The sequence below is a fragment of the Homo sapiens genome, chromosome 7, assembly GCF_000001405.40.
Source record: "Homo sapiens chromosome 7, GRCh38.p14 Primary Assembly".
In the NCBI taxonomy this organism is placed as follows: Eukaryota; Metazoa; Chordata; class Mammalia; order Primates; family Hominidae; genus Homo; species Homo sapiens.
This window is the reverse complement of record NC_000007.14, coordinates 130,122,528-130,148,158: the sequence shown is the minus strand read 5'-3', so window position 1 is coordinate 130,148,158 and position 25,631 is coordinate 130,122,528. Positions and strand designations below refer to the sequence as shown.

At 45.8% G+C, this 25,631-nt stretch overlaps 1 protein-coding gene and 1 long non-coding RNA gene across 7 annotated transcripts in view, besides 4 other annotated features; both read right to left on the bottom strand.

Moving 5' to 3' along the window:
• Positions 1-5,540: 5,540 nt before the first annotated feature.
• On the bottom strand, positions 5,541-6,428 carry LINC03008 (long intergenic non-protein coding RNA 3008). 2 transcript variants are annotated; one of them, NR_149033.1, is made up of 2 exons: positions 6,387-6,428; positions 5,541-6,004 (listed from the first exon to the last, which is right to left on the bottom strand). It is a non-coding gene; the product is annotated as a long intergenic non-protein coding RNA 3008 (long non-coding RNA). The 2 variants fall into 2 exon arrangements; NR_149034.1 differs by having other exon boundaries at positions 5,541-5,900.
• Positions 5,867-6,530: an enhancer, noted in NCBI's record as "H3K4me1 hESC enhancer chr7:129781469-129782132 (GRCh37/hg19 assembly coordinates)". NCBI's record gives its function as "activates a minimal SCP1, AML or CMV promoter by ChIP-STARR-seq in naive and primed H9 embryonic stem cells {active_cell/tissue: H9 hESC(naive and primed)}" and the evidence as "EXISTENCE:reporter gene assay evidence [ECO:0000049][PMID:30033119]".
• Positions 6,531-7,194: an enhancer, noted in NCBI's record as "H3K27ac-H3K4me1 hESC enhancer chr7:129780805-129781468 (GRCh37/hg19 assembly coordinates)". NCBI's record gives its function as "activates a minimal SCP1, AML or CMV promoter by ChIP-STARR-seq in naive H9 embryonic stem cells {active_cell/tissue: H9 hESC(naive)}" and the evidence as "EXISTENCE:reporter gene assay evidence [ECO:0000049][PMID:30033119]".
• Positions 6,719-6,858: an enhancer, noted in NCBI's record as "active region_26647". NCBI's record gives its function as "activates an Ori minimal core promoter by ATAC-STARR-seq in GM12878 lymphoblastoid cells {active_cell/tissue: GM12878}" and the evidence as "EXISTENCE:reporter gene assay evidence [ECO:0000049][PMID:35858748]".
• Positions 7,039-7,118: an enhancer, noted in NCBI's record as "active region_26646". NCBI's record gives its function as "activates an Ori minimal core promoter by ATAC-STARR-seq in GM12878 lymphoblastoid cells {active_cell/tissue: GM12878}" and the evidence as "EXISTENCE:reporter gene assay evidence [ECO:0000049][PMID:35858748]".
• The window catches only part of KLHDC10 (kelch domain containing 10), a 65,172-nt gene continuing 51,994 nt past the window's right edge, over positions 12,454-25,631 (bottom strand). For all 5 annotated transcript variants that reach the window (XM_047420061.1, XM_047420062.1, XM_047420063.1 and 2 more), the window contains 5 exons: positions 23,624-23,708; positions 22,228-22,294; positions 20,708-20,755; positions 18,583-18,722; positions 12,454-17,622 (listed from right to left, as the gene is read on the bottom strand). In XM_047420061.1, the coding sequence (XP_047276017.1) occupies positions 17,413-17,622; positions 18,583-18,722; positions 20,708-20,755; positions 22,228-22,294; positions 23,624-23,708 (550 nt within the window). In that variant the 3' untranslated portion in view covers positions 12,454-17,412. The remainder of the gene's footprint in view (positions 17,623-18,582; positions 18,723-20,707; positions 20,756-22,227; positions 22,295-23,623; positions 23,709-25,631) is intronic.

Sequence of the window (25,631 nt, the reverse complement as noted above, 5' to 3'; positions counted from 1 at the left end):
GGTGTGGCCCTGTGAAAAAGAGGCCAAGGCAGGCGGGAAGACTGGACGGGGCGGCAGAGTGGAAACCACAGCTGGGGCTTGGGCTCCGCTCTTGGAAGCGCAGCGAGGGAGCAGCTGGGCTCTTCTTCCCCAAGAGGGCTGTTGAGGAGGAAGCTGTTGGAGGTAGATCTCCCCACTGAAGGGCTTGCTAGCAGCCTTGAGCCAACTAGGCTGGCTCCCCTTACACCCTGCTGCCCGCCTCAGACTCCCATGGAAGCTCCTCAGCCGCGGAAGCTTCACCCTGGGTACAGGTTGGGTGTCACACACAGACCCCAGGGGTCATCAGCCTCTTGGACACTGGTGCCCTTCCTGAAGGGACTAACCGTCATCCTCCCAGGGAGCAATCCAGACTACAAAGATGGCGGAGGCCAAACTGGTGGAAAGAGATGGTGTTGAGGAGACAGCCTGCTCCCCGAAGGGTGAGAAGAGCACCCTGGGAAAAGCCCCCTGTAACGGCAGCGAGGGCTGGAGGCAGCCGGGTGGGTGGTGCCACTCAGGAGGCTGGCACCACAGCTCCTTTCAGGCTGTTAAATGTAGCATCAGTGGCCCCTGGGGTATCTAATCAAACACCTACCATTGGTCTGGCACTCTCCTGGTCACCCTGACTTTATCCTTGTGCTTGATTAGCACAACCTTCTGAGTGTGGATTTTCTCTTTGGCGAGGAGGAAGGCAAGGACCAAAATATTTCTTTTTTTTTTTTTTTTCTTTTTTTTGAGACAGGGTTTCACTCTGCTGCCCACGCTGAAGTGCAGTGGCGCCATCTCGGCTCACCGCAGCCTCTGCCTCCCAGGCTGAAGCAATCCTCCCACCTCAGCCCCCTAGCAGCTGGGAGTACAGGAGCATACCACTGCACCCAGCTAATTTTTATATTTTTTTTGTAGAGATGGGCTTTTGCCATGTTGCCCAGGCTGCTCTTGAACTCCTGGGCTCAAGTGATCCGCCTGCCTCAGCCTCCCAAAGTGCTGGGATTACAGGAGTGAGTCACCGCACCGGGCCAGAATATTACATTTCTAAGCAGAATTGCTGAGACCCAAAACCATGTATTGTTTAAAGCCAAGGAGGCTTTTCTGCAGAGCTTGTGCAGCTAAAACACCTGGCCAAGTGTGTGGATCCAGGTATGCATGTGTCGCCAGAGTCCACTCTACTTTGCTGGCTTGTTCTCTTTAGGGCAGGCTGTCCTCAGGCAGAGGTCACAGGGCTCCTGTCAGCTCCAGGCTCAGAGCCTTAGGTCAGCAACCCCAGGAGAAAGAATGTGAGTCTTTTTTCTTTAGGTCTCGCTCATGTCACCCAGGCTGGAGTGCAGTGGAGTGATCTTGGCTCACTGCAGCCTTGACCTCTCAGACTCAAGTGATTCTCCCACCTCAGCCTCCCAAGTAGCTGGGACTATAGGAGTGCACCACCAGGCCCAGCAAACTCTTTTGTATTTTTTTTATAGAGATGGGGTATCGCCATGTTACCCAGGCTGGCTCTGAACTCCTGGGCTCAAGTGATCCACCAGCATGTCTCCCCTAAGTGCTGAGTGTGAGCCACTGTGCCCTCTTTCAGTTCTTTAGGAAAAAGTATAGTGGGCAGGGTGCAGTGGCTCATGTCTGTAATCTCTGCACTTTGGGAGGCCAATTTGGGCAGATTACCAGAGATCAGGAGTTCAAGATCAGCTTGACCAACATGGTGAAACCCCGTCTATACTAAAAATACAAAAAAAAAAAAAAAAAAAAAAGAAGAAGAAAAAAAAATTAGCCAGGCATGGTGGCAGGCACCTGTAATCCCAGCTACACGGGAGGCTGAGGCAGGACAATCGCTTGAACCCAGGAGGGGGAGGTTGCAGTGAGCCGAGATCGCACCACTGCACTCCATCCTGGGTGACAGAGCAAGACTCTGTCTCAATAAAAAAAAAAGAAAAAAAAAAAGAAAGAAAAAGAAAAAAGGAAAGAAAAGAAAGAAAAAGAAATAGTGAGTAACATAGAGAATATGCTTGTTCCTACTGAGGTGTGTCATTATCTTCACATTCTGCCCCGAGCCTGTGTATAAAAAAAGTTTAGAGAAACATAGGAACATTAAGAACAAAGACACTCAAGTCGACTCTTTCCACGAGGCCCCACTGTGTGAGTTTCCTAGGGCTACAAAAACAAAGTATCGCACACTGAGTGGCTCAACCAAGAGAGATGTATTATTTCACAGTTCTGGGGCCTGGCCTTTGAGGTAAAAGTGCCAGCAGAGTCAGCTTCCTCTGAAGGCTGTGAGGGAGAATCTGCCACGCTTCTCTCCTGGTTCTGGTGGTCTAGTGGCAAGCCTTGGTATTTCTCAGCTTATAGACAGACGTGTCAGCCAGATCTCTGCCTTCATCTTCACGTGGTATTCTGTGTGTGTGTCTTGGTTCAAATTTCCCCTTCTCATAGGGATACCAGTCGTACTAGATTAAGGCCCATTCTAATAACCTCATTTTGTTTTTGTTTTTTTGAGACAGAGTCTTGCTCTGTTGCCCAGGCTGGAGTGCAGTGGCACAATCTCAGCTCACTGCAACCTCTGCCTCCTGGGTTCAAGCGATTCTCCTGCCTCACCCTCCCAAGTGGCAGGGATTACAGGCGCACACCACCACGCCCAGCTAATTATTGTATTTTCAGCACAAACGGGTTTTCGCCATGTTGGCCAGGTTGGTCTCGAACTCCTGACCTCAGGTGATCCGCCCACCTTGGCCTCCCAAAGTGCGGGGATTATAGGCGTGAACCTCATTTTAATTTACCTCTGTAGAGACCCTATTTCCAAATAAGGTTACATTCTGAGGTTCTGTAGGCTAGGATTCCAACATATATTTTTTTGGGGGGGATGGGAGGGACACAATTCAATCCATAGCATCCACTAAGGACACAGCCCTGCCCTGCCATGTGGCAGCTGATTGGAGTGGTGTTGCTATGAAACAGGGAGGGCTGCGTTTATAACCAGCCCAGGCATTGATTATATTCCACCTCGGAGCACCCATGGGTAATTTCACAAGCAGGCTGCAATTCACACCTGGATCTCCCATTAGAGCAACCTGTCAGTGGCTTGCTTGGTTAGACACATTTTCCAGGTGACACAGGACAATTCAACACGTGGCAGGTCAGCTTTCGCTCTGTGGGTACAGACAAGCCCCCAGCAGTCACGTCCCAAGGCTCTCCGGGAGACCTGGGTGTACCAAGAGCTTTTCACTTTCTGGTTTTGTCTCTGTGCCAATGAGCCCACGCCTGACATTCCACCGGTGTAATTCCAAGAAGAATTCTCTCAAGATCAATTGCCCAACACATACTTACTGTCTGACACAGCCATTTGTATTCCTTTTAGAGTCCTTTCTTGCATTGCTGACTTCAAGAAAGCAAATTAATTATTTGAGACACCGCTATTAAATTGACACAGTGATTAATCTGATAATCCTTTTTATGAAATTACCTCTGAAATGCTAACTTTTCATCTTTTGAAACTCACTGCGTAAATTACTCTGAAGATTACATTGTACCAGCTTTCAGCTCTGTAAATCTTAATGGCAGTTTTTCGCCAAAAGCAATAAAAGCTGTCCTGAATTTATCAGGTGAATCAGGAAAGAGGCAGGCGGGCAGGAAATTGAAGGTGACTCCCTTTGCAAGTGGGGGTTTCAATGGATGGACTTTGAAACCTGTTGTTGCTGGTTACACACAGCGAGGAACAGGAAGCAGACAGGAGCATGGAGCCCCCGGTGCAGGTGTCAGGGCTGCCTGTCTGAGAGAAGGGCTAGTGTGGTTCTAAGAGGGTCTTCTCCCCTCTTTCCTCTCCCCCAACCCCTCCCAGTGCGCTGCCAGGCTGAGCCCATCGGTAGTGGTGGAGGCCTCCAGCACATCCCACTTGGGCTGAACCCACAGAGAGCTGCCTCATTGCCACTGCCCCTGCACAATCCCCAAAAGTCTTTGGTGTGGGGTAGGGGCAGGGAGCACACCTGGGCTATTGCCCTCCACCCTGCTTTTCCTAGCGGGCAGAGTCTTGGCCTCAGGATGAATTTAATTTCTCCAATTGTGCTAGCAGTTGTCATGTAGAAGGACTCTTTTTTTTTTTTTCTATTTGTCACCCACTCTGTCACCCAGTCTGAAGTGCAGTGGCCCGATCTCAGCTCACTGCAACCTCCACATCCCGGGTTCAAGTGATTCTCCTGCCTTAGCCTCCCAAGTAGCTGGAATTACAGGCAAGTGCCACCACGCCTGGCTATTTTTTTTTTTGTAGTTTTGATAGAGATAGGGTTTTGTCATGTTGGCCAGGCTGGTCTTGAACTCCTGACCTCCAGTGATCCGCCCACCTTGGCCTCCCAAAGTGCTGGGATTACAGGCATGAGCCACCTCACCTGGTCGATGTGGAAGGACTCTTAAAGCCTGGCTGGGGCTACGGGCCTGGTGGCAGTAACAGCATCCACCTTCGTTATCTTTTTAAGGCCAGTCTGTTTTTCTTTTTAGTTGTAACCTCTGTGCCTCACATCGTGTGCTTCACCAGGAGTGTGTTATGCCACTCTGCCAGCCTCTTCTAAGGCCGCAGCACACTTCCCACTTGTTGGAAGGGGAACTGGGGAAGGACACAGCCTACTGACCCCATGGCCCCATTTATCCCCCCATCCACCCCTCCATCTGACAGCGTACACTGAGCATCTACTATGTGCTAGGCTCTAAAGAATACAGACAGAACAAGAACAAGGCAGAGACGTTTCCAGTCCTCATGGCACTTCCATTCCAATGGAGAAAGTCTGGCAATAAACAAGGTGTGTACTAAACAAGATGGTGTTCCATTCTTTGGGAAGAGGACAGGGAGTGGAGAGTCCTGAGCAGAGGGGAAGACTATACAGTTTTAACCAGAGAGGGCAGGAAAGCCCTTGCTGCCTCACTCGCCTCACCCTAGCCCTGGCTCTGCCTCATTGAGAAGACCACATTAAAAAACTGAAGGAGGCCAGGCACACAGCCATGTGGATACTGGAGGAGGAGACCTCCAGAAAGAGGGAGCACGCTTGACCGCTCAAGGAGCAGCAAGGAAGCCACCGTGGCTGGTCGAGAGTGAGCAAAGGCACAGTGGTAGGAGTTGAGGCCAGAGAAGTTTGGACTGTGCGGGCCCTGGAGAGAGCTGGGTAAATGGGACATTTCAGGGTGTTCTGCAGGCAAAAGCAGGCCCTCCCACCCTCAGTTCTGTTCTGTCTCCGGGCAGTCCACAAGCACCTGAGGGCCCACGTGAGGAGAAGAGGCCTGGGTTTTCCGGGCCTGGAAGCTCCACTGCCAGAAGCATTCGCCCCCTGGCCCAGACAAACCAAGGTCAGAAGGCACCTCCACCCAGGTTTCCACAGGCGTCCCTGCTGCTGCTTCACTGGGCTGAAGCTACCCACGTTCACTCAGCTTTGCCAGGGCAGGATGCTTACTCCCTACAACCTCCCTCTGTGCCGTTTTTCTCCTATCCCTGGGCACGCAGGTGAAAGCTAAATGAGGAGAGACCCGCCCCACACCTGAGTGGCCAGGCTGACTCCTGTGGTGGAACGAGTTTTTAATAAAACCAGAAGAGCTTCCCAATTCCACGCCTCGCTGCAGTCTCTTCACCTTGCTCCAGAGGAAAGACCCAGAGTATGGCAGGGCTGCGGTTAGCGAGGGCTTTGGTCAGCAGCTGGAGAGTGCCGTAGTGACATGGTGACAGTCCTCGGCCCCCAGGAGGGGCGGAGGCCACCCCTCTGGGACCCCCAGCCCTAGAATCCCATGCAGGAGTGACTCTGCTGTCCCATCACACTCACAGCTGCAGCAAGGATGCCTTTCCAGCAGTCACACTCCCACGCAGGGGTCAGCCTTCCTCCCAGGGGGAGCAGGGTGGAGCGGGAGCTGGTCCTCCCAGCATACTGCAGGCGGACAACAGTGGCCTGTTTCAGGTGACACCTGTCTTTGGGCCCAGGTCCCACTTCTGTGGTTGTCCCCAGGCTGAGCTGCCCCCTGGAAGGGTTTTCTGGAAAGGACCAGAGAGGTGTGGATTTCGGAATCTCTGAGAGCTCTGGCACCTCTGTTTTCTGCTCCCTGGGTTGAGTGGCCAGAAGAGCCTGTGTGCTTGCATTTTCGGTATGACCCCTGGCCCTTATGTGTCTCTGTGTCCCCAGGCCCCTGCTCAATTCTCCACTTCACCGAGGGTGCCTGACCCCTCTCCTTTTCCCTCCATCCCCCCACTTCTGAACGCACCCCACCGTGTGCATGGGAGGGTCCTTCCTCCCTGTGGCTTTTCCGGGGAGCCTTTTCTTCTCCCTGAAGTCACCCCCGCATATCCCGGAGAGCCACAGCGCCTATCCCCTGGGTTGCCATGGAAACAGCCTTCTTTCCTCTTCCCTCCTGTTTACCTTGGTCAGGGACTGCGGCAAAAACCAGCCCGTCGCTGGAGGAGAGGGAGAGCAGTGGGCGGGGGAGCAGGGAGGGAGCCAACCCGCTCCAAACCAGATCATTCCGGTTCAGAGCGGCTTCCCCTCCGGTCCTAGGAGCCTCTCCGACAAGGCGCGCTGGGCTGCGCAGGGAGGCCCTGGGCCGAGCTGGCCTTAGTGGGGAGGGCCTGAGCCCACCCTGGCCAGCACCCCCTCCCCAGTTCCGTCCGGCCTCCATGCGTCCCTCCTGCCAGTGCTGGCGCAGCGGGGCCTGGGGCGCTGTCCCTGATTGCTGGCTGTTCCCCGCACAGGGGCGCCCTGCTGGGGCGGGGGTGATGGGAGCAGAAGTGTCTCGGCCCCAAAGGTGCTTTCGCCCTCCTGGGACCCCCGGGCACTCTCCTGCGACAGGGATGCTCTGTGTGGCTCTGGCTTAAAGCTTCCCGCTGCGTTTAGAGAAGCCAAACCCTTCGTCCCAGCCCCGGGATAGGTGCGGGGCCGCCTCTTCGCGGGGATTCCCCTGGCTCCCACCGCAAGGCTTCTTCCCCTTGCAGAAGACACCAGAAGCTGGGTTTTGTCCCTGCCCCGAACACTCTGGTCACACTTTCTAGCTCCCCGTGCACACCGGGCGGGAGGCTTTCCTTGTTTCTACGCCACACAGCTCCTATTCCCCCTCCATGGGCCACTGTGGTCATCTTGCTCGTTTGCTGTGGTCTGATCGATCGCCTCCTCCCCAATGGAAACTTCCCGAAGGCAGGGCCCGCTCACGCAGCACCCCAGCACCAATGGCACGTGCCAGATGTTCGGTGAGCGACGGTGGCCTCGAGGATGGGACGCGCGGCGGCGCCGGGCTGCGGGGGCCACCTCCCGGCCGAGTCCCCTCCCCGCTAGCGGGCGGCAGCTTCTTAGTCGTCTGGGTGTACAGACTGAAATCCACGGCTCTTCCTCCCCAGCCATGTGCGCTGCAGGCGGCAAGTCCATGGCCAGCGGGCGGGTAGCCCAGCGCACCGGGCCTTGGGGAGCCGCCCGCAGCACGGACCGCCCTGGCCCCTGGCTTCACCGCCCCTGCGCGGCTGCTCCCAACCCAGAATCCCGGGAAGCCAGGGGTGACTTCACGTCCCCGAAAGCCCTTCTGAAAGAATTTTCTCAGTAACTATCCAGGCCCATGTGCCTGCCGCCGGGTCCCAGGAGGATGAAAGTTCTCATGAACGCGACCTTGCAAGCTTGCAGACTTGGACTCCCTTCTCTGGCCCTTGGCAAATCACTGAATTTGTCTTGTCTTGGCCTGCCAATCTGTGAAACGGGGATAAAACTTCTAGGCCTGCGATTCAATACAGGCTTGCCGAGGAGAAAATGAACTGAAAATGCTTGGCTGACATGGCAGGGGCTGCAGAGGCTGGGCTCTGGGTTAGTGTGTGTGTTTGGGGTCCGGGGTTAGATCCAGTGTAAAGCTGGAGTTCTCGTCCTGGATGCCCTAGTATGCAAGTAGCTCTGAGACACCCCTGTGCCTATTGTTCTTATAAACCGCGTCTTTGTGGGCAGCAAGCCTGTGCAGTGCAGGGTGAGCCCAGGCAGAGGCCGACATCCCGAACCATGACCTGATCTTAGCTGTTTCAGGGTGAGGTTTGGGTAGTAAATAACCCAGGTGCAGGAGATGCCTGGATGGCCTGGATGTATTTTTCTGGGGCTGGGAGAGTAACAAAGTTTGCTCCCTGACAGTGGGGTGGGGATTTTGAACACATCCTAGGCAGTCATGGTGAGAGCCTCCTCCACTCCCAGAACCTTGCGGTTCTAAGTGGCAGGTTCAAGGAGGATAAACTGACCAGTCTGACTCCTCTAAGGTGACACAGGCTGCATGGCAGCTGCTTTCTCTTTTCATGGATGTCATCTGCAATACTCTAAAGCTCCTGGCCTGCTGTGGGGCCCCCAAATAGTAAGTGGCCAGAGCTCCCAGCTGTCTCTGCCTTCTCTTCCCAAGTCCTGGAGCTGGGCTGTGGTGGCTCCTGACCTCCCTGAGTGGTGTTTGGCACCTACCTTCCTGCATGGGCTGCTGAGCTCCCCTGCTGAGCTGTCTGCTGGAGAATCTGAGAAGCCTCTTGCTTTTGCATTTGAGGCTGCAAGGCCAGTGTAGGGTGAGCAGATTGGCTGGGTTGGCTTTGTATGTCACTCAAAACTACCTCCTCTCACCTGGCTGTGGATGAAAGAAAAAACCTCTGCTCTACAATAATGTTCTTGCTTGATTTTATGAATGGACAGGATGGTAAGGAATAGGCTTTGGGCAACAGGATAAAATCACAGCTAAGCCAGGTGTGGTGGTACATGCCTGTGGTCCAAGCTACTTGAGAGGCTGAGGGAAGAGGATCACTTGAGTCCGGGAACTGTGATCGAGCCACTGCACTTCAGCCTGGGCAGCACAGCCTGTCTCAAATAAAACAAACAAAAACCCCACACCTAAAACTTGACAGAGTGTGTATTTTTTAAAAACCTCCTCCCTCTCTTCCATTCTTTCCTTCCACTAGCCTCTAGAATTGGCTTTTAAACCAAAGATTCCCAAGTACCAGTGAGGTTGCAGCTGAATCAGGGAAGAACTTGAAAATACAAATACTCCAGCTGCACGCTTTGAATCGCCCCGTCTTATGTGGTCAGAAGAGACTCAGACTCGCCATATTCTGAAGAAGAGCTAGACTGAAAGAGCTACAGAAGGTTCTGCTTTAGGAAGGCGGAAAAAGTAAAAAAAAAACAAAAAATCAGGATCACACTCAAAAACCAGCAGTCACTGCCACAGCCCCTCTGTGTCGTCACCTGTCTTACTACCATGAGCTCTTGCAGCTGTTTTTTTTTTTGGATACTCACCTTTTTTTTTTTTTTTTTTTTGAGATGGAGTCTTGCTCTGTCACCCAGGCTGGAGTGCAATGGCACTATCTCAGCTCACTGCAACCTTCGCCTCCCAGGTTCAAGCAATTCTCCTGCCTCAACCTCCCCAGTAGCTGGGATTACAGCCACCCACCACCATGCCCGGCTAACTTTTGTATTTTTAGTAGAGATGGGGTTTCGCCATGTTGGCCAAGCTGGTCTCAAACTCCTGACCTCAGGTGATCTGCCCATCTCAGCCTCTCAAAGTGCTGGGATCACAGGCGTGAGCCACCATGTCTGGCCTGATATCCACCATTACTCTCTAATTTACACGTGTACCTGGCTGTTGCTTCAATCTGAGACATTCTGTTTATCCCCTTCCTGCTATGGAGAGCAGGACTCAGCTCACTTGCATCACCACCCTCCCTCCCTCGTCCTACATTTAGTTTCTTCTTTATTGGTTAACTTTGTAATTTTTAGTAAATTTTTTTTTTTTTTAGTTGGAGTTTCGCTCTTGTTGCCCAGGCTGGAGTGCAATGGTGTGATCTTGACTCACTGCAACCTCTGCCTCCTGGGTTCAAACTATTCTTCTGCCTCAGCCTCCCAAGTAGCTGGGATTACAGGCGTGCGCCACCACGCCCGGCTAATTTTGTATTTTCAGTAGAGACGGGATTTCTCCATGTTGGTCAGGCTGGTCTCGAACTCCTGACCTCAGGTGGTCGGCCTACCTCAGCCTCCCAAAGTGCTGGGATTACAGGCGTGAGCCACCATGCCCAGCCTTCAGTTTTATTTCTTATTCCATCAACTAGAGAGCAATCACAGTGAATATCTCCATAATGCTTACTATATGCCAGGCGTCATTTGAAGTACCTTACCCATATCTACTTATTTCAGCCACACAGTATGAAATAAGTAGCTAGTATGGAGAGAGGTTACTACTGTTAGCCCCATTTCAGAGAAAAGGAAACTAGGGCCATTTTGTTATTATTTTAGTGGTTCTCCAAGAAGGAGCGGAGAATACCTGTGTACTCGGTCTGCCACTGAGTTCTAATGGGCAAGGATTGGGAAATGTTCATTCTGGCCTTTGCAGTGAAGTCTCCTGCTGGACAATGAAATATGACAATAAAAAGTAAGGTAACAAAATCTCTCATCTTGGCCGGCACTGGCCAGTTAGCTCAGCTGTGGGTCAGGGGTTCCCAAATGTCTTAAACCAGCTGAATTGGAATCAATGAAAGAGTTTATTAAAATTACACACTTATTAAAATATAATCCTTGGGGTTTGGGCCCAGGAATCTGTATTGTTAACAAGTATGGATCATGGTTTTGAAACCAGTGGGTTACAGGTGGCTTGGCAGTGGCCGTGTTCTAGTCCCTACTCCATTTTCAATACTTTTTCTTGGAGCCTGCACTATGCAAGTGGAAATCCTGACTGTGCCACTCACTAAGGAACCACCTGGAGCGGGCAGCAGACCTCCCACCACGGTGGGATCAGTGATCTTAAGATCAGGATCGAGTTTAAGAGGTAACTCCAGTCCTAGCACTGCACACCTATGGTACTCACCATTATGCTGCAGCCTTTTTTGGCCAAACATCCTAAATAATGTTAGATCTTGGGGATTATCTAGCCAACCTCCTCCTATTTGACAGATAAGTAAACCAAGACCCAAAGAAAAGCAAGTTGCATACAGAACAGGGCTATTATGGACTGAGCCAAGAGCAGAGCCCTTGTCTCCTAACCCCCAGGTCATCTCTTCCTAGAATTGCACTAAGAGGTAGCCACTAGCCATGTGTGGTTATTTCCCTATAAATACATGAAAATTAAATCAAATTAAAAATTCAGTTTCTCAGCCATACTAGCCACATTTGAAGTACTCAAAAGCCCCATGTGGCTTGTGGCTACCACCATATTGGGTGGTGCAGATACAGAACATTTCCACCATTGCAGAAAGCTTTATTGCTCTAGCACTGGGCTAGAACCTGGCCTTTCATTTGAAGGCAGTAGGGAAACTGGATGGTTTTACCAATGTTTTCTTCCCTCAAGCAATTACTGCAGAAGATTAACTACAAGAGAATGTGGTTGTTGTTAAAGTAGCTTAACAACATCATTTTAACAAACTAGAATTATATACACATAAACTGGAAGAACAAAACCACGCAAACCAACTAGGCCACTGAAACTCCTCCCACTAGGCCAAGATGGGTCTTAGATGCCTTATCTAAGAACCAAATCAGATGCACATAAGAGTCCATTTCAAAGCTCTGGCTGGTCTGAAGACTGAAAGGTATAGGGTGCATTTCTTATATCTGGTAGCTTGGAGAGGAGTATAGTTAGGAGAAATAAACCCAAGGAAAGAAGACTGCTCTGCATAATAAAGTATTAACTGTAAGGTGGATGAATGGGTAGAAATTGTTTCTCTTCTTCCTTGTAGATGTATATTGTAATATCTAAGATTATTTGTCCATGGAAGGTGTGTTTGATCCAATAGTTAACCAATGGAAACACTGAAAAATACAAGGCATCTGTTCAGTTCTAGAAGGGAGACCTTAAAAGTGACCAGACTTGGGAGTATCCTTCCCTACCTACTCTGGACTACACAGACATGGAGAAAAGCACTGCATGGAGAAGGATTAGAGGATTAGAGATCACAGCATCATAAAACAGAGGTTTGTTTTGGTGAGGGAAGCATCTGGAAGACCAAGGGCAGAGCTAGGAAGTGTAGTTTCACCCCCAGAGGACCCCTGCACAGGGCTCAGCAGCTCCTGGGGCTCTTCCCTCAGATCATAAAGACAGTCAGATGACTATATATACGGGTTCACATTTTCCCTTTGAATTCTCTGTAGCTCTTCCAACCCTTCAGAAAAGTCTTGATATACCTATACAAACTTGTCTAGCAGTGGTTTGGGGAACATGGGGTGGGGCAGTGAGAGGGAGTGTGGGCTGCCCGACAGTTGCTCCCTTGCTGATGTCTTTGTGGAGGGAGCAGTGTGCTGGTGAGGGAACTCTTGTGTGTCCAGGAGTTCCAGATAATGAGCAGATAAAGAACCCACAGTGGAGTGGGGGTGGAAGGCAGATGACTCACAGATATTACAGAGAAAAGCTGAGCCTGGTGGAGGTGGGTAGGACTGACGCTTCTGTCATATAGGTGCGCTCACGTACACACAAATTACCATTAGACAATCAAGGTGAACTTGAACCAAATTGATTTGGATAAGATTTATTGATCAGATTGTTTTAGAAAACCAACAGCAAAACACTGACAAGGTACATAAATACAGATTGGACATTTTAGGGTAAATTCACTGTATTTCCTACTTGCTTGTAGGAAACCGAGTAAAGTGGAAAAGCTGTCCTGATCATATGGCATGCACACCAGACTGCAAAAGGACGTCCACACTATTTAACAGGACTGTGGCAAAATAGCTTTAAAGTAAGGCGAGCATTGTGTATGGCCCAAGCATACCCTGTAGGAAGAGCAAAGCTAGGCTCACCTCTCAGAGACTGTGTCTCAGAAAGAGGCTTCCTTTCTTGCCTAGGTTCTTCCATGAAATTCGTCATTGGCAGGTGCTTTTCCAGGGAGATGCCTGTGCTCTCCCTGTGCAGACTCTGTGCACAAGGAAGTGGCTTTAGAGAGTGTGTTTTCTGATGCCTCCTTTATATTCTAAATGTATAACTAGTAAAACAACAATTACTACCGCTTGGTGAAATTGTTTTTTGTTTTTTTCTGAAAACTGCCTCTGACTCCACCCTGTACACTGACTAAGCAGGGCCCTTAAAAAACTTATAAAAAGTTGTTTTTTTTTTTTTTTTTTTTTCAAATTAAAAACATGAAAATTACACCAAAAAGATGGAACTACTTTTGTAGCACAACTCAGAACTTCTGTTCGTAACACCGGACTAGAGAAGAGGTCGCTTTTGGCTGAATCTAATGACCTTAGAAGGGAAAGGCCATTGCTGGGCAGGATCTGGTGGCAACGCACACGGAAGTCCTAGAACTCTATGAAGCCTACCTCAGGCCCTGCGGGTGCGTCTGGAGTTCCAAGGCATTTGGGGAACCAAAGCAATTTCAGCTAACAGTGACCAGTTTTTAGAATGGAGCTTATGATCAGAGGACCATAAACCCTCATCCACCCTAGAGCTCAATGCCAGAAAAATAAAAAATAATACAAAAAATAAAGGAAAATAGCTTTTTGTGCTATATCAGAATGCTGGCAGGTAGACAATTCAGTAACCTGTGCCACTTTCTAAACATCTGTAAGACCACAAAAAAAAAATGGGTTTTACAGAATACGAAGACCAACACAGTCTTAGAGGATCATTCAACCTTTCCTACATGCCAAGCTGTGTGATTGGAAAATAGAAGAGCCATAGCTCTTGCAAGATTAGAGGAAAAGCAAGTATTTGTCAAGAGCCAAAGAAATGTGTTCAAATAATGGAGTTTCCTCTGTGTCGCACACAGCTTTTCCTTCCCGTAGGTACTAAGAGTTCTTTGGTGGTTAGAGAGATGGCCTGGAGCTCAGGGCAGGAGATGACGCTGAAGAGCTACATCTACTCAGGATTACCACCTGTGGTTCCTAATTTCAGCATTCAACTCTAATTGTTCAGCCTGACTAATTACAGGCAATCAGCTGCTTATATGGTCACTGGTTGTCAGCTCCTACTGATTATTCCTTTTCCTTTTCTACCTACTCATTAACCCCATTCCATGGAAAAACAGGTGCTTACAGGAAAGGATAGGGAGGAAAAAGAAATGTAAATGAATCTATTGTTTGGTAGGAAAGTTGATTCACTGATTATCTATGGATTTCAATGATCTGTGCTTTACTCTTGCTACTGTGGATAACCAAAGGTCACTGTTAACGTATCTTTTGCTTAAAAATGTTAATATGCTTATTATGCTTTAAAATCTAGCTATTTAAGGGCATGAATGGTTTAAAGCAAATTTTTACATCATGTCATTATGGCCCTGAAAAAAGGAGATTCTGCCAATGGAAAGGGTTTTGTTTAGCCCCAGTTAAGATTTCAACCTATTCTGTGTCAGTTTATAGTTTTTCCAGGATGTGGAAAATATTAAATGAAGAAAGCATCATTTTCTTCATTTAATAAAGTATTACATTCCCAGATAAATTAGTATATACATAGGAGAATGGTTAGTGTTAAATACTAGGTTTTAATTCTCCGTTTAGGAAACTCCTTACAGATGGACTTCCTTGTTCTCCGGCAACAAAATGTAAGACATGCAAACATGAGAGAGTACAAAGATGACAGGGAGAAAAAAAATCTCAACTCTAACAAACCTAAGGAACAATGAGTCTCTAAGAGTTGGAGTAAGAAAACATGGACTTGAAAATCCAGCTTTATCATGACATGAGTTGGCTTAAGCCAGCTGATCACATCTAAAATTCTTGGCATAATTTGAACCTAAAGTAATGAGCTCACTTCCCCAAGATGCAAAAAAGTAGTCTACCTGCTTTATAGTTACACCCTATATATAATCTGTATATATCCATATGTTTCTATATATTGCACTTAAATTTACAGGACTGTAGTAAGACGGCTGGGAGTACCTCAAAGAGGCAGAGAAGCAGCAGGCATAAACTTTCCTAAATCAAGTAAACAGTGTCAGGAATTCCGAGTGCTGGTTATAGGTATACCGAAACGCCTGATGACCCCTATCTAATTTCTAGTTATCTACACTTAGTCATTTACACACAGTCTCATTTGGCATCCAGAACATGTACACATGTGTGGTTCTATAGCACTCAGTGCTGGTCATACCATGTCATTTTTACTAGTGTTATATTAAAAGAAGACACTTTAGACCAAGGATATATACTTTTATGAAAATAAAACACACAGGTCTTCGATGTCAGGCCTCCAAGGTCTACCTCAAAGAAGACTGCCCTCAGAAGGCTTAACAAAGGATGCCAGCAAGTATGGATGGAACCAGACCACATCTCTCTTCAGCTCTCTGGTGTAGCAGGGCTAGAGACTCACTTCTATCCTAAGGACCATGAAAGTCTAAGCACAGAGGCTGAGCATTCAGTCTTTGGTCCCTGTATAAATCCAGGTCAAAAATCCTCTTGCCACCCTGGACAGCCTGGCTTGTTCAATTTAGAATATATTTCCACCAAATATCCAGAGGCCAGGCTGAAGTCATGCAGCAAAGCTCTGTTTTGGACTAATGGAGCTGCTCAGACTGACTTGCTCTGGGAGAGAACGGAGGAGCAAGCCTGGCAGTGGTGGCAGGAGGTTAAGTGCTACACAGACTGGTAATGGCAAGATGTGGGAGGATGGGCCCCTAGAGGAGCTGCTCCTTTTTCTGCCTCTCTCCCACATTCCTCACTCCCCAGAAAGGACCCACGTTCACAGGTGCGTGGTTATTATAAGACTTCCCAGAATACAGGCTCCATGAACTCAACCCATCACAGAGGGGATGGTATGATAAGGCCTAGAAATCAGGAGCATGTCTGGAGGCTACGGTTTTCTCTTTCCCAGAACTGAACACCAGATGGTAGCTTTTTAACCGTAGCTCAAAGGTCATTTTAAATCCACACATAAGCTAAAGAGATCCCTTCTGAGATGAAGGACAAAGAATAACTTTAAAAGCTAGGTGAAAAAAGAGGCACTTAAAGGAAAGATGTGTTCCAACTCTCCCATGCGAGTCTCCTGCTGTGAGTTGGCCCCGGGAGGACCAGCGCTGCCCCTTGCACGCCTTCAGCACCTTGAGTACACCTGCGGCTTACACATGCGCATGGTGAGCCTCTTGCTCAGCTCCCCTAGCAGCCAGATGGCAAAGCGAGTGAAAATTTATGTCATTCTTTTTAGAATTAAAAAAAAAACAAATCAAACAAACCAGAACTAAAATTTCACACACACAAAATGAATGCTACTCAGTTTCATTCCTTCCTCATGCTAGTTTTTAAATGATACTTGGTTCTTCAGGAAGGATGACCTGTGGCTTTACCCCCAAGACCTTGTATCCAATTACTAGACAATTATTCACAGCACCATGCACATTAAAGCAGACGGAAAAGAAGGCAACAAGCTAAGGGAAAAATCAAGGACCAACTGCCTGAGAAAATGGCAGGTACCTGGCCCAGAGATTAGAAAAGAAACAAGTTCTCAAAAGGAAATGGCCAAGATGATAGCCAAAGACCACAGCCCGAGTGGAAGCCAAGTTAACAAGCCCAGAGGATGCAGGTTTTCTCTGCCTGGCTCTTCTCTGGCCTCCCTCGGGAGCTTGTGTTCATGTTACATGGCATTTACACCACATACTTAGGGTCTACAATTCCCCATGAAGAAGTCAAAGAGATATTTAAAACCATTAATAAGCATAAGAGAGTTTCAAAACTGCCAGAATGAAGAACTTTGGCCACCACAAGTTTTTCCGTTTGAAACATTCTTGGTGCCATAATTTCTAAGAGCAACAACAAAGAGCACGACCACGACACACACGTAAGTCTTTTGACAAACCAACTCTAACCACTGCTGGCACCATGAGGATGAGAAAGAAATCACTAACCAAGAGTTGCTGGGCTGCTTAACCTTCCTTCAAAGCCAAAGGGTAGGTTTGAGTTATCTGTGCAACAAGATGGCAAGCACTGCTGCCATCAGACCCAGCTACTACTCAGTTAGACACATCTTGAAAACACTAAGTTAAACATCTAGGTTTAAGTATAACCTGCAAGATTCCCAAGGTTAGCCTTCTCAGCTTCCCCTAAATTTGTGGTTGTTGCTGTTGCTAGATGTAAAAATTTTTTAATTTCATTTTTCTTTATGTTGATGATGTTTTAATTTCTAGAATATTGTATGACATGGAACTATTCAGAATTCCTTTAAAAAGGAATCTGTCTTGATTAATAACATTATTAAGGTACTTTCAGGCTTTCCCTTAACTCCATCGAGAAGGAAGAGGGAGTATGTGAGTACATGTGCATGTAATGGGTCAGGAGGAACAGAAGCAAAGAAGGAAGCACGTGGGAAAGTGAGATGTCCATAAACTGAAAAACCAATTTACAGAAAGGCATCTGATGTATTTTCTAAATAAGGCCTTGATCAGGGTAACCAATCCTCTTTGTAGCACATTCTACACTGCCCATAAATAAAGGAGTCTCTTTAAATTAACATTTCCAGTATCAATGAACAGTCCAGAAATCCTCATTTCAAGCGTTCGATGAGTCCCTGTGTGAGTCCAAGGTGCAGAAGTTGTGTTCGGGAGAGGTTTGCAAGGTTAGGGAAGGCCGCAAGCAGCTTCTCCCATGCCAGTTCCAGCAGGCTAGGTACCACCAGCCAGATCTTAAACAATGACCCAGTCCGTTTGTTTTCATGGATGTTCACCACTCCTCCATGAATGTACATGCAACCAGCCTATGAGTAGTCAAAAGAGGACAAATTCAAACGGGAGAGAAACATACAAGGCTGAAGACTCAGTGGGGAAAAAGCATAGTAGATGGAATCAAAATGAAATGAAACAAGAATTCCTCACTGATCCCAATACCATGTGGAGATCAAGAGGGTTTAAATAATTAATGAATTACTAAGGGAAAAACTATATATATATATATATGATTTTTTTTTTTTTTGAGACAGAGTCTCACTCTGTCGCCCAGGCTGGAGTGCAGTGGCGCAATTTCAGCTCACTGCAAGCTCTCCGCCTCCCGGGTTCACGCCATTCTCCTGCTTCAGCCTCCAGAGTAGCTGGGAATACAGGCACGCGCCACCACGTCCGGCTAATTTTTTTTTGTATTTTTAGTAGAGATGGGGTTTCATCCGTGTTAGCCAGGATGGTCTCAATCTCCTGACCTCGTGATCCGCCCACCTTGGCCTCCCAAAGTGCTGGGATTACAGGCCTGAGCCACCGCGCCCGGCCTATATATATGAATTTTTTTTTACTTCAACAACAAACAATTTCACTATTAACTAACATTAAACTAAACCTATATTAAGTATCCAAGATGCCAAATACTGGGAATACAAAGATGAAAATAAAGGCCTTTGCCTTCAAGAAATGAGCAGGATCTTCAATAATATGGTATCAAGGGGGTAAAACTATTCCGCCCTCCCAGGAAACACCTTTGACATCACGGTCAGGGCCGGAATGCCACAGGTAGCATTTCTCTTACATTTATGTTATTCTCTCAAATTTGGGTGTGATGATTTTTCTCCTCTTTTCTTAGAGGAGGGCCTAGCTTTGGAAGGAAGTTTTAAAAATATGTTATTAATCATCTAAGGTTTGCCTATATCTGGCTTTTTTTCTTGCTAATATCTCTAAAAAGATTTCCTTATCATCTGTAACTACATAAGGAAGATATGAAAATAAAAACTTACTGGTGTAACAGCTGCACAGTGAAAATAAACTGGCTCTGGCATGGTAGCTGGGAGCTTCACCCATTGGAAAGTCTGCAGATTCAACTTCCAGATATCTCCCAGGATCACCTCTCCATTATAGCCCCCACAAATAAATACATCTATGAAGAAAAGAGAAAGCCAAGATCACACAAAGGAAAAGAGCCAAAGCTATGGAGTGTTTTAGAGTAGGTCACACAGCCAGCTGACATGCGGCCAGTGAAGTGGATTGCCCCATGACACAGACGACTTCTGCTGTGCAGCCTCTCATGCTGTTGTCTTGTCCCTCAACAGAACTGAGATGCTATGTCAGGGTCTTCCCTGGGACTAAGAATGCAAGCCTCTAAGGAGCCTTCATGTCAAAGTTACCAAATTCAAACACATACCTACAGATTCCAGGCACAGAAAGTAAATGAGCAAGGGGGTCTAGGGAAGATAAACAAACAGAAGTCTCAGGAAAACAGACAGAAATGCTCATGCTCTAAAAGAGGCGACAGCTATGCAGCCCCAGCTGTTCGGTCCTATAACAGACTTAAGGCTGGCAATTGCCAGATCGTCCATTTTTTTCAAGGCAAGTTGGAAATCTGGTTATGTTTTTAAAAATGAAACATTTTGATTTTTAAGTTTTGGCTAGTATGTATATATATATATATATATATATATATATATTTTTTTTTTTTTTTAAGAGACAAGGTCTCACTATATTACCCAGGCTGGTCTTGAACTCCTGGGCTCAAGTGACCCTCCCGCCTCAGCCTCCCAAAGTGCTAGGATTACAGGCATGAGCCACCATGCCTGGCCTCAAAAAAAATTTTAATACACATATGAGCCAAACAAAACACATTTGCAGGCCACCAGTTTGCAAACTCTTCTTTAAATAATGTCCTGGAAAGAATATACATTTATCTGCTCGCAGAGACTAAAGTCTCTATGTAGACATTTAACCTGAGGAGGAACGTTCACTTCACTGCAATGTTCAGTTTAGGAACACAAAAGAGGCTCTTCCAAGCTTTCTTCGGCGAGAAGAGGACAAACTGAAGCTCTGTTTGATCTGTACAGTTATTAGGAATAATTTTCCCAAAATGAAAGGTGTGGGTTTTCTGGTAAAATCAGTTAGTTATAACTAATTAGATAACTTGTAACAAAGGCTATGTGAACCTTCAAACGAAATGCCTAGAACTAAGGTTGAATTCTATTTGTATGGTGCTTGGCCTCAAAGAATTAAATGAATAAATTTCTTAACTCAGGTCTAGACCAAGTTTAAGCCAATACTTAAGCTATAAAATGCACTGGAAACTTTTTTGGCTAGGATTCAAGGAAAACTGAAAGTACAGTTCCATTCTCACAGAGAGAAATGTGAGCAATGTCATTATCTATAAATCTTATCCAGAAAGCAGGAGCACAATAAAAAATCCCTCTGAACTAGAGATGGCAGAATAATCCTAGTTGTATCTGAACTAAGTTGCTAAAAGCATACAGGCTATCTAACTCATTTATACATGCTTTCCTCCCAGAAAAAATTTAAGAGCTATATCAGACGATGAAATAAGTTGTAAATTAAAAGACAGGAAGGTTATCCAGAGAGGAGTCACTTATCACATTTAGTTAAAGTAGCTGCAGCTGCTTTCTGAAGCCATACAATGCCTTTGTTGTAATATGGCCAAAGAATGAGTGAAGAGTTCCATTTGGCATCAGAGAGAGAACAGAATCAACTTTATGAAATAACACTCTGAAGGAGTTATTACAATTTTAATACAATGTTCGCTGAGGTCTCTACAGTATAAACAGTCAAGATTATTAGTATTAGCCACCATAACCACAGACATCTGTTGAGGTGTGGGATGCTGAAAGATCAAGTGCTACAATAAAAGCTTATTTATCACCATTTTTTGAGTTCTCTAATAACTGAAGGAACCCAAACACCATACTAGTTTACATTATGAAAACAGCTGACAGAGGCATAACTATGAATTTCCCTTTAAGTTTACAAGAAATAGACTTTTCTCAAAGTTATGAGCCTCTTTTGAGGGGGCTATCTTAGGAAATAAGACATTTTCAGAAGATACAATTACAGAAATGGAAGCAAAATGTTATTTAGAATCCTTACCATTTTTTATTTGAACACAACTGTGACACCTTCGGGCTGCAGGAAAGCCTGCCAAACACACAAACACAGAAGTTCCATTACTTACAGAAAGACTGGGAACCACACTGATATAACACAGTGAAAGACACACTACGTGTAACTCAAAACAATCCCTTTGTTACATGTTAAGCAAACATTGACTAGTCCTTCCACTCCCTCCTTATTTCAAAAGCCATCAGGAGTCTCATCATAACAGTACAATGCTAAGGTGCCGGAAACAAAGAGGGAAAGGACAGGAGTTGCTAGTGGCTTTCCCAAGCCCTTTTACCCACAAGGAGATAGGTAGATCTTTATTATTTATTTAATTTAGAGACAGGGTCTCACTGTGTTGCCCAGGCTGGAATGCAGCAGTGCAATCTTGGCTCACTGCAGCCTCCGCCTCCTGGGCTCAAATGATCCTCCCACTTCAGCCTCCTCAGTAACTGGGACTACAGGTGCACACCACCACACCCAGCTAATTTTTTGTATTTTTAGTGGAGACAGGGTTTCACCATGTTGCACAGGCTGGTCTCGAACTCCTGGGCTCAGCCTCCCAAAGTGCTGGGATTATAGGCATGAGCCACCATACCCAGCCGGTAGATCTTTATTTAGGCTCCAATTTCTTATATCACCCATATTTCCCAACTTCTGCCAAAGAATTCAACAAAGAGGATTAAAAGTCTCTTTGCTCAATCGCTAAGGAGAATTACTGTGTTTTTTTGTTAGTTTTTGTTTTTGTTTTTTATTTATTTATTTTTTTGACAGAGTCTTGCTCTGTCTCCCAGGTTGGAGTGCCGTGGCGTGATCTTGGCTCACTGCAATCTCTGCCTCCCAGGTTCAAACAATTCTCCTGCCTCAGCCTCCCAAGTAGCTGGGATGACAGGTACATGCCACCACGCCCAGCTAATTTTTACATTTTTAGTAGAGATGGGGTTTCACCATGTTGGCCAGGCTCGTCTCGAACTCCTGACCTCAAAGGATCCACCCACCTCGGCCTTCCAAAGTGCTGGGATTATAGGCATGAGCCACCACGCCCAGCCCTAAGGAAAAATTATAATTGGGCTAAGGAATACAAGTATTTTCTAATACCAGTTCAACAGATTTTTCTTTCTTTTTGAGATAGGGTCTCATTTTGATGCCCAGGCTGGAGAGTAGTGGCTCAATCATGGCTAACTACAGCCTCTATTTCCCAAGCTCAGGTGATTCTCCCACCTCAGCCTCCGGAGTAGCTGGGACTACAGGTGTACACCACCAGGCCCAGCAAATTTTTTTGTATTTTTTGTAGACACAGGGTCTCACCATGTTGCTTGGGCTGGTCTCAAACTCCTGGGCTCAAGCCTTGGCCTCCCAAAGTGCTGAGATTATAGGCGTGAGACAATGCGCCCAGCCCAACAGGTATTTAACTTGACATATAACTCAGTAAAATTACTTTTTCCTTCCAAAATGAGTAAAAGTATAATACATGTTTGTTAAAGATAAATTAATCAATACTTTAAATTTACCTATTTTTTCATGGGGTTTTGTTGCAATTTCCTCCCAGGCATTCGTTTCAAGGTTGTATGCATGGATCTTGGAGAAAAAAAAGAACATATACACATACATAAATAATTGTAATTTTAGCTAGCCTGAAAAAGGATTTTTTAAAAAATAGACTTTGTTTTTTAAAGCAGTTTTCAGTTCACAGCAAAACTGAGCAGAAGGTACAGTGATTTTCCATACAGAAAACTGGACTTTTAACAGCAGCAGCCTGCGTAAACATATATTCTTAGTTGAAAAGTCTTTCTTTTCTTTTGCTTTTTTTCTGATCTTTCCAAATACAAGGGAAAACATTAAATGAGGCAGTTGAAAATTAAACACATACATGATTTCAATTTTTATTTTATATTTTTTTGAGATGGAGTCTTACTCTGTCACCCAGGCTGGAGTGTAGTGACGCGATCTTGGCTCACTGCAGCCTCTACCTCCCAGGTTCAAGCAATTCTCCTGCCTCAGCCTCCCGTGTAGCTGAGACTACAGGTGCCCGCCAACACGCCCAGCTAATTTTTTGTGTTTTTAATAGAGATGGGGTTTCACTATGTTGGCCAGGCTGGTCTCAAACTCCCAACCTCAGGTGATCCGCCCGCCTCGGCCTCCCAAAGGGCTGGGATTACAGGCATGAGCTACCGCACCCAGCCCACTTTTTAAAATTCACAGAAAAAAACGAAGAAAAAGGTTGGAATGAGAAGCTGCAGTGCATGTGATGCTTGATTTTCTTCTATATGTTGTTCTGCAACTTCCACATTTTCTACAAGGGGCATGTATCATTTTTATAATAGAAAAAAGCAAGTGTTTGTAAGGGAATGTGGGAATTCAGTTTTGACAAAACTTGAAAAAGACCATTAAGGTTCCAAGCAGTCCAGGAGCTCTACAGCCTAATCTAGGTTCCCCTGGGATGTGTGACTATGACATTTTAGAAATGCCACAGGGATGGATGAATAACAGCCCTTTAGAGCTCAGCTTTCTCAAGTTCATGACGTGCAACCCTAAACAAGCCTGTTCTTTTTAGATACACAGCAGTGATGATGATGCGGATGTGACATTCTGATAATGCTGGTTCCAATTCTAATTAGTTGCTCCATTCAAGCTACTATGCCTTCCTTTTAGTCACTTTCCTTTTCCAGCATAAGGGGATAATTTTTATAAAGTATTTTCAGTGTGTGATAAATAACACCTGTCAACTGAAAGCATTTTGGGGCACAGGGTTCGACCTTATAAAGTGCATCCAACACAAAATAGGTGTTAATGAGGAATGTGCTCAAAAATTAAAATATCCAAAGTAACAGAATTATCTTGCTTGGTTGACGCAAGCCTCCTTCTATCCTTCTCCCTCTCCCTTTTTTTCTTTTTAAAAAAATATACCTTGTTTAAGGAATATGCTGTCCAGGAAGTACCACCTCCCAAGATGTAAATCCTCTGCCCGTCATGTGCAATTTCATGTCGGTATCTGAAAATTTACAATAAAATTCATTTATAATTAAGTGAAAAATGACCTATCTAAGATTTAGCTATAAGGTTTTTTATTACATCATTATTTATAACAATAAGTTATTGGAAATAACCTAGGCGTTTAACAATAGTGAATTGGTTATATGACTTACAGAATATACATAAAATGGATTAGTATACAACCAGTAACAGAGTAGGCACCAGATGGTGGTTAATGTATTGAGAACTTTTTTGTGTCATTATTTTTTAATCAATTGCATTAAAAATTTATAGATACATTAATATGTACAGAAAATGGCTATTAGGATATCATCCAAAACATTAAACCTGGTTATCTTTGAGTTTAGACTTGGATTTTTATTTTCTTCATTTTGCTAATTTGTATTTTGTAGATTTTTCTATAATCTTTTGTGATAACTTTGTATAAAGGGGAAATTATTACATAGTTTTAAAAAGTGATCTGCCTACATTTAGAGACCTTAGACTATGAGTTTGCAAATTAAGATACTTATTTAGCAGAAAATTATACTACACAGAACTGTGGATATAACATAAAACACCTCAGAACTTTCATCCAGGCAGTCTAGCTAAAAGCTAAAATAATTTATGATATGTCCATAAAATGACTTAAAGAAAGCAACCATGTGAAAATGCTTTGAAAACTTAATCTATTTCCTTCTTTACCTGAAGGCCTTGTTGCTGATAAAATAAACTACATCAAAATCATTCCAGTAAGAGGCCAACTTCCAAGTCCTCTTATGGTAGTTTTACAATGATCAGTCCACTAACAGTCTACAATTAAGATAAATTCTTCCTTAGCACCTATATGCTATTTTGTTTAAAGAGGCAACAAAGAGGCACTGGATTCATCTAAATAGAGTTAATAAAAAATGGTTTACTGTCTTTGCTTTCAAACTGGAGGGGAAAAAAAATCTCTTCAAGTATTTCAGTGAGTTTAATTCTTTTTTTTTTTTTTTCTGAGACGGAGTCTTGCTCTGTCGCCCAGGCTGGAGCGCAATGGCGTGATCTCAGCTCACTGCAACCTCTGCCTCCCGGGTTCAAGCAATTCTCCTGCCTCAGCCTCCCGAGTAGCTGGGATTACAGGTGCCCACCACCACACCCAGCTAACTTTTTTTGTATTTTTAGCAGAGACAGGGTTTCACCATGTTGGCCAGGCTGGTCTCGAACTCCTGACCTCGTGATCCGCCTGCCTCAGCCTCCCAAAGTGCTGGGGTTACAGGCTGCGCCCAGCCACAGTGAGTTTAATTCTATGAAGAGGCAACTGCTATTAGGAAAGAAAAGTGAAAGATATAGATCTGCTACTAGAAGGCAACTAGAGAGAACCATGCGATGTTTGAGTGTTTAACACAGCACTTAAAATGAATGACCTTTCCATCCATCCATCCATCCATCCATCCATCCATCCATCCATACATCCATCTATCATTCATCACCCATCCATCCATGCAAGCTTCCTTCCATCTATCCAATCAACATTCACTGGGCATCACTGTGGGGATGGCCCTGTGCCCTGTATTGAAGATATGTCTGTGAGAGAATGAGCCAAAGAATTCTAATATGCAAGTTAAGAAGGGAAATCAGGCTCAGCTTGGTGGCTCACACCTGTAATCCCAACACTCTGGGAAGCCAAGGGCAGGCAGATCACTTGAGCCTAGGAGTTTGAGAAGCAGCCTGGGCAACACGGTGCGGCCTCATCTGTACAAAAATTTAGCCAGACGTGGTGGCACATGCCTGTATTCCCAGCTACTTGGGCGGAGGGCTGAGATGGGAGAATGCCTTGAGCCCAGGAGGTCAAGATTGCAGTGAGCCATGATTATGTCACTGTACTCCAGCCTAGGTGACAGAGTGAGACCCTTTCTTTAAAAAAAGGGAAATCAAAAAGTAACTGGACGGTAACTGT